The sequence below is a fragment of the Homo sapiens genome, chromosome 11 (assembly GCF_000001405.40).
Source record: "Homo sapiens chromosome 11, GRCh38.p14 Primary Assembly".
Taxonomy (NCBI): Eukaryota; Metazoa; Chordata; class Mammalia; order Primates; family Hominidae; genus Homo; species Homo sapiens.
Genome location: NC_000011.10, coordinates 24664301 through 24681188, shown reverse-complemented (window position 1 = coordinate 24681188; position 16888 = coordinate 24664301). Strand labels below are relative to the sequence as shown.

General features: G+C 36.2%; 1 protein-coding gene across 9 annotated transcripts in view, besides 1 other annotated feature; it reads right to left on the bottom strand.

Moving 5' to 3' along the window:
* Positions 1-16888, bottom strand: part of LUZP2 (leucine zipper protein 2) — a 585586-nt gene that overhangs the window by 401450 nt on the left and 167248 nt on the right. The window lies entirely within an intron of this gene.
* Positions 488-1412: an enhancer, noted in NCBI's record as "NANOG hESC enhancer chr11:24701323-24702247 (GRCh37/hg19 assembly coordinates)". NCBI's record gives its function as "activates a minimal SCP1, AML or CMV promoter by ChIP-STARR-seq in primed H9 embryonic stem cells {active_cell/tissue: H9 hESC(primed)}" and the evidence as "EXISTENCE:reporter gene assay evidence [ECO:0000049][PMID:30033119]".

The window sequence follows — 16888 nt, the reverse complement described above, 5'->3', positions numbered from 1 at the left end:
TAACAAGGTGAAACCCCGTCTCTACTAAAAATACAAAAAATTAGCTGGGCGCGGTGGCGGGCGCCTGTAGTCCCAACTACTCGGGAGGCTGAGGCAGGAGAATGGCGTGAACCCGGGAAGCGGAGCTTGCAGTGAGCCGAGATTGCGCCACTGCAGTCCGCAGTCCGGCCTGGGCGACAGAGCGAGACTCCGTCTCAAAAAAAAAAAAAAAAAAATAAAGAAAGAAATTAAAGACTCATAAAGAGTGTTCAAGTTCAGCTCCTTTATTTTTCATGACAGTTGTTGTTACAGCAGTCCAAAGTTTGAGAAGCATTTTTACAAGTGGAAAACGTATGGACTTTGAAGTCAGGTAGATTATCCGTTGACCTTGAGCAAGTTAATTGCATTTAGATTCTGAGCCTTGATTCCTATATGTATAAAATGAATATAATAATATATTTCGTAAGGAATTTGTTAGTAGTATTTCGGATCAGGTGTATGAATTTTCTGGCCAGTCATTATAATTGTGTTGAACATAAAGGACTGTTATTACTGGCCCCACACCAAAATTTTTCCTGCTAATTATCTCCAATCACAATGAAGAAATCTAACTCATCAATTCTGCAGACAGAAAATAGAGGAACTGAAGATCTTTCTCTCATTCCCTGTATGACATTGAGACACCTACCTTCAGTGCATTGATCATTTCTTTCCACTTGTAGGAAATGAAGTGGTTAAAGGAACACTGGGACACTGAGAAGTCTGGGTTGGATTAGACAAAGCCTTCCCACTGAGGAAGCACATTCAGGGTACTGTTAATCGTGCTTTGTGGAGAGGACCTAGGGCAATCTTTTATAAAAATGTAAAACCCTTCTGACATGTTTGCCATCTAAGCAAGTCTAGTGCTGCTACAGAAGCAGCACAGGGAAGCTGGGAGCAACTTTACAAAGTGTGAAAGTAATGAGCCTTGCTCCTTTTCTGCCAGAAGGACATTAGCAACTCTGTGCCTTTCTTTTTGCATGCCTGAAGGGGAGAATTTACACTGGCCACTATTCTCCTTTTATTTTCTTTTATAGTTTTTATTTTTTCTTTCCCTTAGCTTTTGTCCTTTTCTCCTTGCTCCTCCACTACCAGTAAAGCGGTATGAATTGATCACCTACTGTTTGTAAATGCCAATGTCTACAAAGAATGGGGATGTTAATTTCCCTTTTCTCCTGTCAGCATCTTCTGGGAGAAGGCAGGGTATCCAAGGAATAGCACTTCATCGCTCAGCACAGTGAGCAGCAATCCATTCATTCAATAGTTATCCAGTGAGTGTATATTATGAGTATGTAACAGCAAATAAGGCAGACACAATTCCTATAGCTAGGAATTTATATTCTGGTGGCAGATACAACTGAACTAAGGATTGAAGTCTTAGTAGGTAAGGATTATGGTGAGTAATTACAGGTCCCAACAGGAAGACATTGGAGAGAAACCTATATTTCGCACTTTTCTTACAAGTCCCATGATTTTCTTAAAGGTAGGGGACAAATTCTAACTATTGTGTCACTTGAAAAGGAATGAGAATGATAATATTGGAAAAGTTAAATATTAATCTTACCATATCTTTTAAAAATAAAGGATTTTTAAAATAGTTAATTTAAAAAATCTTAAAATGGAAGCAATAGAAAGTAAAGTGTAACTCCAAAAAGGAAAACACTGCTGTGGTTTTATTCAACAATTTGTACCTAGCTTAGTGTCTGTCATACAGTAAGGTCTAGTTAATATTCTTTAAATAAACAATAAATAAAATAAAAATAATTAAGAAAATATACTGAAATTTTTACATTTTCATATCTCAGTTCTATGGTGTTTTGTGAAATGTAACTTCTCTACATTATTATTGTTTTTATCACTTGAAGTAACCATGTGTTGAATACCTAACATGTCATGAAAAATTTTAACACATTATGAGAAAGGTATGCTCTAATATTTGAGTAAATAAAGCAATAAAGATCAGAGTTGAGATATGAGCTCTTATCTATTTGACACTGATGAGGCTCACTGTATTCCTATGACATAAGGTTTCTTTAAGGAACTACCTGAATTCTTTCTACACATATTTTACTTTATGACCCAGTGAAAATAAACCTGCTTAGCAGTGGCCGTCTCCATATAAGCTTACTGACAATGTTATTATAATCAGAAGTTAGAAATGAAAAATACCTCTCACAACTCATTTCCTAGCTAGAGGACATAACACTTAGTCTAAATGCCAAGGATTGTTCTCTTGCGGTGCAGGCTTGGATGCCTGGACGCAGCACTATATCTTATTTTGCAGAAAATAACCTTTCAAGGAAGAATAAATGCTTCTCAATGATTATATGAACTCTCTTACAAATAAATTCACCTCTCATTTGTCAAGCTTAAATTAACATTGGGCGACGTGCTGTGCTTTCCAGAGGGACTGAAAGTCATGCCTTTGAGACAACCTTGTTCTCTTCTGATACATTCCAAAGTTAATAGGCATGTATTAAAGTGAGAATCTACCTAAGGACCTGCTTTAATGTCAGATACCTGGGATATTTTTCTTAAAAGTAAATTATGTCTAAAATTGAAGGCTGCTATTGAGTAGCTTAGAAGTAGTTGGGAACATAAAACACAAGACACAATCTCAGTTTTTTTTTTCTTTTAATATTTTTTCCTTCTTTTCACAGGTGTTTAATTCAGAGTGTCAAATTAAATATTTGATTTAGGACACTTATAACAAGCACACTGGGAATACAGCAAAAGGGAGAGACTAAGGAAATGCTATACAAGGATGTGGAAATTCTGCTGGGGTTTGTGGCCCATCCTTGCATAGCAGAAAGGTTTGGATTGAAATTCCCAGGGTTGATTTATCATCACCTAATGGTGTAAATTAGATATGCATTCTTTTATTCATTCCTTTCATTCATTCATCCACAGATAATACAAAAACGTATTGAATGGTTACTATGGGCCATTGATTGTCCTGGACACTGGATACATTTTAGTGATTAAAATACCCAGTATGATCCTTGCCTTTATGGAGTTAGCAATGGTCAAATAAAAAAAGTCAAAAACAACAAAAAATAATACACATAGCTACGTAGTAATCACCCCCCCCCCCCTTTCTCCTTTCCTCCCTTTTCTTTCTTTCTTTCTTTTTTTTGACGGAGTCTCGCTCTGTCGCCCAGGCTGGAGTGCAGTGGCACTATCTTGGCTCACTGCAAGCTCCACCTCCCAGGTTCACGCCATTCTCTTGCCTCAGCCTCCCGAGTAGCTGGGACTACAGGCGCCCGCCACCATGCCCGGCTAATTTTTTGTATTTTTAGTAGAGACGGGGTTTCATCATGGTATCGATCTCCTGACCTCGTGATCGGCCCGCCTCGGCCTCCCAAAGTGCTGGGATTACAGGTGCGAGCCACCACACCCCGCCCTCTCTCTGTCTTTCTCTATTTCTCTCTTTAGATAGAGACAAAGATATACACACATATGTATGAATGCATGTAACATGAACATGTTCATATATATTTACAAATTGTGATAAATAATTTAAAGAAAATGAATAAAGAACAATGAGAAAAAGATAGATATAGACAGACCTACCTAGAATGGTCAGGAAAGACGTTGCAGAAAAGTGACATAAGGAATCTTAAAGAATATAAAAATGCCTAATTTGCAAAGAGCAGGGGCTTTGGAATTCCTGATAGAGAAGAATATGTGAAAAGCTCTGAGATCAGAACAATCTTGAGTGTTCAAGGACATTAAAAGATCTACCATACCTACACGAAGACAGAAGTAGCACAAGATGAGTTGGAAGGTCAGACAAGAACAGAGTCATGCAGGCTTTATAAGCACAGGAAAATTATTGGTACTTTATTATTGTTTCATAATTATTCTTTTATTATAAGGGCAAAAATGTTAATGTAGAGAGAAATTTATGATTTCAAAGATTTTGATGGATTATAAGTGAAGAATAGTTCCGAGAAAATAGAATGGAAGCATGAGGGCGGCTGTTACAATAGTGCCAGGCAGCTACAGGTGGAGATTTTCATAACAATTGTCAAAGTGGAAATAGACAAAAAATGATATATATTTGATATATACATTAGGAGGCAGAAAAGGTAAAGCTACACATTTTATTAGTCCCTTGCTTATATTCACCATGAAATTTTTTAATGTTATTATTTAGAATTTTTTGTGGAATTACAAGTTCTGTAAAAGCTATGAGAGGCTTGGCCGGACATGGTGGCTCACGCCTGTAATTCCAGAACTTTTGGAGGCCTAGGAGGGCTGATCACCTGAGTTCAGGAGTTCGAAACCAGCCTAGCCAACATGGAGAAACCCCGTCTCTACTAAAAATATAAAAAACATTAGCCAGACATGATGGTGAGTGACTGTAGTCTCAGCTACTTGGGAGGCTGAGGCAGGAGATTCACTTGTACCTGGGAAGAGGAGGCTGTGGTGAGCCAAGATCACACCACTGCACTCCAGCCTGGGTGACAGAGCAAGACTCTGTCTCAAAAACAAACAAAAAAAAAACAAACAAAAACAAAAATAAATTATGAGAGGCTTAATCAAGGATATTAGTATCTCGCATACCACTAAGAAAAGTTTAGTGCCATTTCTGCATTAAGTAAAAATTATCTGATCCTATTTGTAACAGACAGTTTTATTCACTTTTTTCTCACTTTTCTCATTTTAATTTATGTTACAATCTCTGGATTGCTACACTTTAATGATAGTGTTAAACAGCTTTTATTGGAGGCATTTGGATTATATTCTAACTAATGCTTTGAGATTTGGAGAAGAAATTTGTAAAAATACCTGCTGAAGGAGAGTATCTTCAATTAACCGTGTATATATTATTTATTTGATTTTTCCGAAGCTACATCAATGGAGTCATTTGGGCTTTATAGAAAGAATTTCAGCCTATAAAAATTACCTGTCTTTTAAAGCTCTTTCATGATCTAATATTATTTCATGGATTTCTAATCTTCTCTTTCAATTATGCCACATAAGATAAGGAAGAGTAAAATCTGCCATTAGCATTGTGTTGATTTTTCTGTGCTTTAAGAAATGTGAGGCTAGGCATGGTGGCTCACTCCTGTAATCATAGCACTTTGGGAGGCTGAGGTGGGCAGATCACTTGAGGTTAGGAGTTCGAGACTAGCCTGACCAACATGGTGAAACTCCGTCTCTACTAAAAATACAAAAATTAGCCAGGTGTTGTGGCACACACCTGTAATCCCAGATGCTCAGGAAGCTGAGGCATGAGAATCACTTCAACCCGGGAGGGGGAGGTTGCAGTGAGCCGAGATCGCACCACTGTACTCCAGCCTGGGCAACAGAGCGAGACTCTGTCTCAAAAATAAATAAATAAATAAATAAATAAATAAATAAATAAATAAATATAAAAAAAAGAAATATGAAAACTAATTAGGAGATTTGTAGGGCAGACATATTAATAGTAATAATAAGGACCAATCAGGTTTTTCTTGAATGTATCATTCAAATAGTGAAATTGTTTTTTCTTATTGTTACCACTGATGTTCACTAGAGTATTAATACAGCAATTTTTATTCAAATGTAGAGCTTACTTTATTCAAATGTACAGCAAATTTTATTCAAATATAGAGGTTGAGTAAAGAAATAATATTCCATTTTTAACCATGACAGTTCTATTTTGAAAGTACTCTATGGCAAGCTAATTTTCTGCTGAGCAGTTCTGCACTTACAAACACTGCATAATGTGAAAACTCTAAAATTTAACAAATAAGCAAAAATTTGACCATCTAATTTGTACCAATAACCCAACATCATCTATGTTCTCTAAAATTTCTATAAAAATTCTCAAGGAAATTGAGATTTTTCTGTTCCCTTAATAGCAAACAGATTTTTAAAGCATCCTACTGCAAAGTTCAGAAATGCCAAATGTGTTTGATTCTGTATGTCTGTTAGGAAAATGGGATCTAATTTTCCCCTAGATGTTGGTCCATGGCTTAAAATTAGTGTTCAAACAACCCAATTCCACTTCAAGGGGTTCATTGATTTATCTCATACCTGAACCACACTCTAATTTTCTAAACTTCAACGTCACATCTACTGTAAAGATAGGACTGTATCACAATTTCTAACTTTAAGGAGGCAGATTTCAAAAGATTGGCTAACTGCCTAGAAACTAGTTTAAAAGTACAGTCAGGCCACGATATATGTGCTACACAAACAACATTTCTAGGTAAAAACTGAGTTCAGATTTTTAAGTTAAAATTGCAATATTATAGTTTCCTTGCACATTGGGAAAAAGGGAAGACTATCTAAAATTTCTGAAATTCCTCTTATCCAACCCCATCTGTGGGGAAAAGGCATAAGAGGAAATGCCATTTCATATTACATATGGAATTGTTAAATGCGCAGGGAGCAGGCAGGAGAGGGAGAAAAGGGGAAGAAGGAGAAACAAAGATGCAGATAGGAAATCTCACAGACTTTTTTTTTCTTCTCTGTGTCCATGGGCAGTAGCATTTTGTTGTTTAGGAATACAGGGGAATAAAGTTTGGGACAAAGGTTGCATATAAGCATGTGACCTTCTTTAAATATGAACTAAATAAGATAATAGAGGGGAAGAAATGTCACCGTCCATATCTTAAATTAGTGGGAAAACAAAGATCATAGCAATCACCATGACTTCCCATTTACTTTAGAGCTTTTTCCTTCACCTTATTTTTGTGTCATTGGTTGTTGTTATTCTCCTGGTGATTCCCAGTAAAGTGACAAAATGAAAAGGTGGGACACTTGTCTGGAAAAGCTTCATAGAAGGAGAAAATCAAGTTACCGTATTTCATCCTGTAACCAGAACATAAAAGTACCCAAAGGATGAAAGAGATGTCGGGGCTAGCAGAAGGTCACAGGCTGTCTCCTGAAAGTGGCAAAGGGAAATAAAAGTGGAACCAGAGAGCCTGGACACATGACAGGCATTTGAACTGAGAAAAGGTCAAGTAGATTTCAAGAGGCCCATGGTAAAATGAGTCTACTAATTCCCACTCTACAGTTATTATAAAGATTAAAAATATGTAGAAAACAATGTCCAGGACAGTAACCAATACATAGTAAGTTAATGATAAATGGCAGTTCTCATCCCTAAATTATCTTATAAACTGTGGCTGTATAAAAAATAGTTTCATTAATTGAAAGATGATTAGCAATGTTAAATACTTCAGAATTCAAAACACAGAGGCACTCAAGGGATTTATCAATTTGAAGTTCAATGGCAATGTTGATGAGAAATGTCAGTACTAACATAGTCATAGAAAACAAATTTAGATGGTTTAGGAAGTGAATATGTGTTAAGAAAGTGAGAACAATAAAATAATCCTAGATTTCAAGAACCTTTGCTTTAAAAAGAAAGAGCTAATGCCTTGCCCTCAACTGTGGGCAATTTTGCCCTACAGGGGACATTTGGTAATGTCTAAATCATTTTTGATGCAGCTGACCATGTGTACATGTCATATCTGTTAAACATCCAACAATGCACTGGACAGGCTCCCCCAACAAATAATTATCTGGCCCAATGTCAATATTGCTGAATTTGGAAACCCTGAGCTAAAACATTCAAGACAGGGTTTCTCAATTTCAGGAAGAAAAGAAAACGGAGGTGTCTTCTAAATTACAAATACAGAAGAGAGAAAGTTTAGCTGAAGAAACAAATCAAAGTATAAATCTCTTAACACCCATGACCACCCCTGCACCCTGCAAGGACCATCTAGGGCCCTTCTAGAACCAGATGTAAGGACTAAAGCTGGTGTAGAGAAGGGACATGGACTGGTTTCTGAAGCCACATTGGACTTCATGAAATCAAAAATAGGATATATAGGATATATAGTCGTGTACCACATGACATTTTTGTCAACAAGAGACCAGATATAACCAGATATATGACAGTGCTTCCATAATATTATAATACTGTATTTCTACTCTACCTTTTCTATGCTTATATTCACAAATACTTATCATCATGTTACAATTGCCTAAAGCAGTGGTCCCCAACCTTTTTGGCACCAGGGATTGGTTTCATGGAAGACAATTTTTCCATGGATGGAGGAAGGGTGGGGGTGGTGTTATGTTGGGAGGATGGTTTTGGTATTAAACTGTACCACCTTAGATCAGCAGGTGTGAGATTCTTATAGGGAGCACACAACTTAGATCCCTTGCATGTGCCATTCACAATAGGGTTCAGGCTCTTATGAGTATCTAATGCCACGGCTGATTTGACGGGAGACAGAGCTCAGGCAATAATTCTCACTCGCCCACTGCTCACCTCCTGCTTTGCAGCCTGGTTCCTAACAGGCCACGGATTGGTACTGGTCTGTGGTCCAGGGACTGGGGACCCCTGACGTAAAGTATTCAATAAAGCAATGTGCTGTACAGGTTTGTAGCCTAGGAGGCATAGGATATACCATATAGCTTAGGTGTGTAGTTGACTATACCTTCTAGGTGTGTGTAAGTACAGTCTATGATTTTTGCACAAGGACGAAATCCCATGACAATGCATTTCTCAGAATATATCCTTGTAGCTAAAGATGCATGACCATATTTCAATGAACACAGAAAGCAAAGACAGTAGTTTTTTATTTTTAATGGTATCTAGTGGGGTTTTCAATGGAATCTTGGAGAATGCGCTTCATCTTAAGGAGACTTATCTCAAAAATGTTTTCTGAGTTGTTGAATTTATACAATTAAATACAATGAATTAAATATAGTAGCATATGTTAATGTATACAGTAATTTTGTAATAAATATAAATTATCTTGTCCAAAGGTGAAAGTTAATTTATTGTGGCTTTCCCAAAATAATAGCAAATAAACTAAATACACAAAAATTACAATTTTAAGTATCTTTTGATGTTTAGTACCATATTGTACTCAGGGAGACTAATTTTACAATACTGGTCAATTTGTAACTACTCTCAAAGAAACTAAATGTTTCAGTAGAAAATCTACTTCAGTAAGCAAGCAAAATTTGAGATCATAACACAATTCCAAATATATAATAATATAAGTATTTCCTAGCACTGTGTAAGTGGGTTCAATACTTGTATAGAACTAAATTGTACAGCATGTAATAAATCAAACACCATGAGAGACATCTCTCAGTTACAAATGCAGCTGTTCTGGAATGTATTTTGCCAAAAAGCCCATTCCCTCACTACATTTATTGTCAGTCTATTAATAAGCTCTATGCATGGCAAATTGAGTGGTTTTTTTTCCTACTGAGAGCAAGCAAAAAGAAAAAGAAAAAGGAAGTAAATGTCCTTGAATATTACTTTGAAAACTAAATTAAAATATTTATCCCGTACTCATTTAGCCTATTGATTACATGGGCTACCTTTATGTTTTATAGTCATTAGTAAGGCCATACTGTTTTGGAAGATTTAGTACACGTTCCAACTAGGTTCGTGTAATGTTCAAGGAATGGGACTCTTCATAGATTCTCTTGCATAAAAATGCCATCTCTCTTGTGTGTCTGTTAAAGTTATCCCACTTTGAATAAGACATTCATGAGGGAACATCAGAGTCTACTTGTAAGCAGTAACAAATATCTGAAATATTTGTGAAAGTGTGTGTGTGTGTGTGTGTGTGTGTGTGTAAGACAGAGAGAAAAATAATTAGGTGAAAGATTATTTGGCCAAGAAAGAGAGAGAAATCCTTCAGACTTTAACACCTAGCATTTTGTTATAGCTGTTTGAATAACAACTATTTTAAAATCAAGTTTTCATTAGCAAATATGGTCAAGGCAGTGTTACTTAGAAGAACAAAATTTAGATGTTAATATATCAATAAAATGGCAGCTATGACAATTAAAAAGTTGTGGGAGGGGAATATTTTCAGTTCAAGGAGAAAAACTTCAGATAAAATTTACAAAAAACTGCTAAAACTGCTGTAAATAAGTAAAACAATAATAAGATCTATAGGAAGAAAAAATATCTACACAGATATAGAAGAGTTCTTAATGTAAGCAAATACCAATTTTTTCTTGGAATGAGGCCCAAAAATATGTCATTTCTATCAAACCTAAATTAATAATATAAATTGAATTGACATTAATTACCATTTGATAATTTAAAAATTACCAAAATTTTTGAAAATAATTCAAAAAATTGTTCTAATGCTCATTAGGATAAAAATATACACAATACCCAGGACATCTTTGAGAAAGAATAATAATGAGAGAGAATTAGCTTTAAAAGAAAATGAAAATGCAGTATGAAACTATATTCATTCACATTATTATCGGATTAATTACAGATAGATAGCTACATAGAAACTAATTAAAAATCAGTAGGAGAAATTTGGATTATTTTGTCAGGAATCCTAGAAAAGGTTTGTCTTTTTGAGAAAAATATAAATCTAAATACCAACTTTACATAAACTAAAATGAATACTTAATTGATTTTTCTGATGAAATAAAAGAAAATCTAAAATTTTGGGAATTAAAAAATAACATATAAGTTAATAGAGTTTCTTGTAAATTAATTAAAAACTCTGGAAGTCAAAACTGATTAGAAATTTATCAATACAGATATTTAAAAATCTGTCCCAAGATAAATATGTGTGTGTCTGTGTGTTTTCAAAAAAACAGCCTATTAGAAAGAACTCTAAGGCAGCAATTTGGCAGGTGATATAAATGCAACTAAAAGAATTGCCATTTGATGTGATAAATAAGACAGGTTCAAAACTCACATTCTGAAGTCAACCGGGCCTAAGTTTACATACTTATATAACTAATCTTTAATATTTAACTATTTGAAGCTTTATTTCATCCATAAAATGGGAATGACAACATTCTAGGGTTAACTTGTAGTGGCTGTGACTGTTATTATGACCATAGTCATCCTTACACAAGAAAAGATAAAATAATTGCCATTTAAAAAATTACTTAATGCTAATGAAAATGAAGTGACTTATCTGTGGTCACAGAGCTGTCAATACCAGAGCTGCAACTTGAGTCTTGTTTTCACTCCAAGTTCTGGTGTTGCTTCTATGAACACTATATTTTTAAGTAGAAAATAAGACTATATTAAGCAGCTTATCTAAGGAGCATTAACTAGACTACATTATACTCCTTCAGTGTAAACTTATTACATTGTTTTTACCTGAAGTTATTCATCGGAAATATATTGCCATAGTGAAATATGTTTTAGTTTTTTTTAATTCAGAATGTAGCCAGATAAACATACAATTTATTGTCATCTCTAGATGCCTAGAGTCCTACCATTAGCTATTTGAAGTGACATGTTCATAGCCAAAGATAGTTAAAGGAAATTTGATCATAAAGTAATCAATAGAAATTATATTTCTCCTCTCTTTGCTTCAGGACAGGATTTTTTAAGATTCATGACCTAAGCCAAAAGAATGCACCTTCGAAAAGTCTAGAAAGAGACCAGGTGCCTATTTTGCATCACAGTACAAAAGCACAATTCCTCAAATACCGCACGTGAACATCCTATCAAGAAAACCAATGAAGTTTAGCTACTGAAAGTTTCTATAAATTGTGCCTGCTTTAAATAATCCAAACAATGTGCTCTCTTCTCCTCCACAAATCTAAATATGTTTAAATATCTGAGAGTGACCATTTTCACAGCCCAGAACACAAAGAAGAAAAAAAAAATAGAAAAGATTCATTGGCAGTTTCCTCTAATGGTTTAAAACAATTGTAGCATTAATTGTAATCCCCAAAGGTTAGTTCTATAAAAATGCACAACTAATTTAAAAGCAAATCATTAATACCAATTAGGAAAGCATTCGGCAGGCCCAGACAGAATTTATTTTTTATTCCAGGAATAAGATAGAAAAGTACTGGGTGATAAAGTATGCTTGAGTAACACTGAATACAACTAGGCACAAGAATAATAAATAATTAATTTGGAAGACAAAAAATAATTCATTTGTAGTAAGGAACAAACTGCTCATTTCACTTCTGGATAAACCTGGGAGCACACACATTGCTTTTGCTAATTTTCTAATTTTACTGATGAGAAAGTTAAAGTAAAAAGAACATTTTTCCAATGTCACAAAGGTAGTTACTGTCAGAGCTGGGTCTTTAACTTGGTTCTTTTGATTTCCTTTTTTGGTGTTGCACCTTGCTGCCTGCCTAGTAGCAGGTTAGTAAGATTTTATTTCACTAGGTGCTTAAACCCAAACTTTCTGGTTGAAGGAAAAAGCCGTTTACTGAAAAATATAGAAATTCTAGTGCAAGTTTGACATTTTCTGCAACATTTTCAAACCTATGTTTGGAAAATGGTATGTAATAAACATTTAAATGTCCAGGAAAATCTAGTACTTACTCAGATTTTACTTGGGTAAAGCCACACTTTGATCCTTGCCTCCATTTTCTTCTAATCTACTTTTTGTATATTTCATTTCTTATGAGAGAAGTTGAGTTTCAGGATTAAACTATTTATAAATAATAGAAAGCGAGAGACGTGCAGTGTAACAGACATTTGTTTTATCTATTCCCCTTCTAGGAAAAAAGCATGTTCCTTTGTTTAGGGAAGTCACTCTTGTATGACTCTTTGCCATGTGGAAAGCTGATCATTTGGAGGATTTCATACTTTTGGCCACAATGATTCATTCAGTGATGGATACATGGTCCCAATTTGCTCAGTGTCCCAAAGTTTTTCAAGTGATAGTGGAGTAAAATGGTATTCTCTTTACAAGGGTTGCTAGTTTCTGAATATATGTTTCTAGACCTTTCAGCATGTCATTTGTCTCCACAGACAGAAAGCCACTTTGAGAATAAAACTATATGGGGAACTATCATACATGAAGAAACATGTATCAAATTCCAAGGACGTTCTTTGACCTCCTGCATCTAGCCATGCCTGAAATCCAGACATTTACCCTGGAATCTTCGATGAAACTCGTAAATTCCCTTTATGCTTCAGTGTTGGAGATTAGTTTGTTTTATTTCCAAACAAAGATTCCAGATAAGTACCAGCATGTGAAACCAGATTAAAGAAGCAAGAAAACCACACTTTTTCTGTAATAATTCAATCAAACTTTCATATGCACTATGCAATCACTTTCACTTTGCACTATGCAATAATGCAATCAAACTTGCACTGTGAACTTTTGAGGACAAGATTTTCTTTCCAGTCTGCTATAGTCTTTATTACAGCACTTACCATCCTGTGGATGATATTAGTTATTGCCAGTTTTACTGCTTTATAGTTCTCATTTCTATAAAAGTGAATTAATAAACTCCAAGAGGAAAATATCTATCATGTGAATTACCCTCATTCTTTCAATGTTTGCATTAGATAATTTATTTCTCTGAAAGGAGTCAGAAGACTTAAGTTTTGGGGGACTTTCATTGCTGAGGGGTCAATTCTGCAAAGGCAATGCAAATAGAAGCATTCTCCAAGCCCTTGCTGAATTCCAAGAGTCCATAAAATTCTGTTTACCCAGATGGTATATTTTATATTTTTGACTAAGCCTATTTATCACTTGCTATATTTGCTCATGTCCTTGGGTTTTTGGGAGTTAAATGCTCTTAGAAATCTGAATTCCAAGTCAGAAATCTCAGGAATAAACATCAGCTCTTTGAATGTACAAACTCTGCTTTCTCCCCACTCAGCTCCCCATTACACAGAGTGCATAGTTTAATCCCTTTAACATATTTGCATTTAAATTGCATATTTAAATCTATACATTTAAGAACATGTGGTGGACGCGGCAGCTCATGCCTGTAATCCCAGCAGTTTGGGAGGCTGAGGACGGCAGATCACGAGGTCAGGAGTTCGAGACCAGCCTGACCAACATGGTGAAACTCTGTCTCTACTACAAATACAAAAAAAATTAGCCAAGCATGGTGGCACATGTCTGTAGTCCCAGCTACTCAAGAAACTGAGGCAGGAGAATCGCTTCAATCCGGGAGGTGGAGGTTGCAATGATCCGAGATCGTGCCACTGCACTCCAGCCTGTGTGACATAGTGAGACTCCGTCTCAAAAAAAAAAAAAAAAAGAAAAAAAGAAAATGTATATTTGGGCTGTTGAAGTACTGTGTATTTTGAATATAAGAAGAAAAGTCAGGAGGTTTTCATGGGCAATATTAGTAATGCTTAATATGTATATATCACTGTACTGTTTTTAAGGAATGTTTCTCTAAGTTATTATATTTTCACAAACTATTTCACATGAAAACTGATGATGGGGCGAAAGGGTTAGGTGACATACACAATGCAAAAGAATAAGAGAATAACGGAGAGAGACGAGAAAAATAAAAACAGAATTATAAGTCAGTTGATATATTCTGTCCACCATGCTTTGCTTCTTTTCCAGATTTTTCAGCAAGATCCTGGTTTTTCTTTAGTTTTGGGTTTTGGGCTAAAACAATCCTTCATCCCCTGTTTAGTAATAACACTAAAAATCATCTTAACTTCCAAACATCGAAGATAAAAACTTCTTTTAATAATGAACTCTCTTTCTGTGGGTACTGCCCTTCCCATGATTAAACTCTGAATCTATCTCTGGAGGAACCTCTCTTCCAGGTGAGAAAAAAGATCCAATTATATAACTTTGTCTTAATTTCACAGCTTTTATAGATAATGCTAGAAAATGAAATCGTCTGAGAATAGCTCCTGCATTCATCTTGACTTCACATTTGAATCTCAGGAGCTATTTTCAATGGAGGTCTTAGCTATTTGTTTCTTTCCATCTTTTCCAATGATTAAATGTTTCTTTAGAAACTTTCACTTCTCCAATATAAATCATATAGTATAATTTTCTCCTCAATGGTTGTCTGTATTTTTCAGGCAATTTTCATTTTTTTTCCTTATAAAATCAATGACTAAAAGCTGGTGAGAAAGGAGTTAACTACAGGCACCCATGTATTTCTTCTGTGCTCTTTCACTAGTTAAGAGGATTTTCCTTCCCTGCAGATCCCCATCTCTATCTGTAGTTCTCAGCCTTTGATAGTTCCCATTGATCGACTTTCCTTATTAATAATATATTGCCCCAGCTCCTGAGTTCAGCTTCTACCTCATTTTCTAAGCAGACCTTCCCCCATTTCTAGCTCCTCCTGTTTGTGAAGTGTGGAGACTTCATACTTGCTCTGAATGTAAGTTAGTAAAATTCTTCTGGTAAATAATTTTTTGAGTTTCAAATGTTTGATAAATGATCAGACTACCTGCATCAGTAAAATTACACTCAGAGATCTGTCTAAAAATAACTTGAAAAATTATGTATAATGATAATTACATACATGTAGTAGTAAAAAAAATGGAAACAAACGAGCTAACAAATGATAAGACTATAATGAATTACTATTGTATTAGTTCACTTTCACACTGCTATAAAGAAATACCTGAGATTAGGTAATTTATAAAGGAAAGAGGTTTAATTGACTCACAGTCCCACGTGGTGTCAGGGGCGGTGGTACTCAGCAAATTTACAATCATGGCAGAAGGCGAAGCAATCATGTCCTTCTTCACAAGGTGGCAGGAGAGAGAAGAATGAGAGCCAAGCAAAGAGGGAAGCCTTGTGTAAAACCATCCGAGCGCATGACAAATTTTTTACTAGCATGAGAATAGCATGGGGGGAAATGCCCCCATGATTCAATTACCAGGTCCCTCCCATGACATTTGGGGATTATGAGAACTACAATTCAAGATGAGATTTGGATGCGGACATAGCCAAAGTATATTATTCTGCCCCTGACCCCTCCCAAATCTCATGTCCTCACATTTCAAAACACAATTCTGTCCTTTCAACAGTCTCCCAAAGTCTTAACTCATTCCAGCATTAACTCAAAAGTCCAAGTCCAAAGTTTTGTCTGAGACAAGGCAATCCTACAGACCTATGAGCCTGTAAAATCAAAAGCAAGTTAGTTACTTTCTAGGTACGATGGAGTACAGGCAATGGGTAAATACACCCATTCCAAATTGGAGAAATTGGCCAAAACAAAGGGGCTTACAGGCTCCATGCAAGTCCAAAATCCAATAAGGCAGTCATTAAATCTTAAAGTTCCAAAATGATCTCCTTTGACTCCATGTTTCACATCCAGATCATGCTGATGCAAGAAGTGGCCTCTCTGTCTTGAGCAGCTCTGCCCTGTGGCTTTTCAGGGTACAGCCATGCTCCTGGCTACTTTCTCATACTGACGTTGAGTGTCTTTGACTTTTCCAGGTACATGGTGCAAGCTATCAGTGGATGTACCATTCTGGGGTCTGGAGGATGGTGGACCTCTTTTCATAGCTCCACCAGGCAGTGACCCCATGGGGACTCTGTGTGAAGTTCCAACCCCATATTTCCCTTCTGCACTGCCCTACTAGAGGTTCTCCTTGAGGGCTCTGCCCCTGCAGCAAACTCCTGCCTGGACATCCAGGCATTTCCATACATCCTCTGAAATCTAGGTGGAGGTTCCCAAACCTCAATTTTGTACTTCTGTGCACCCACAGGCCCAACACCACATATAAGTGCCAAGGCTTAGGGCTTTTATCATCTGAAGCAATGATGTAAGCTGTATGTTGGCCCCTGTTTGCATGGCTGGAACTGAAAGTAGTTGGGATTCAGGGCACCATGTCCAGAGGCTGCGCAGAGCAGGGGTTCCTGGGACCAGCCCAGGAAACCATTTTGCCCTCCTAGGCCTTAGACCTGTGATGGAGTGGGGGAGGAGGGTGCTGCCATGAAGGTCTCTGACATGCCCTGGAGACATTTTCCCCCCTTGTCATGGTGATTAACACTTGGCTCCTCAAATTTCTCCAACTGGCTTGAATTTCTCCCCAGAAAATGGGTTTTTGTTCTTTATCTCATTGTCAGGCTGCAAATTTTCCAAACTTGTATACTCTGTTTCCTCTTGAATGCTTTGCTGCTTAGAAATTTCTTACACATGATACCCTAAATCGTCT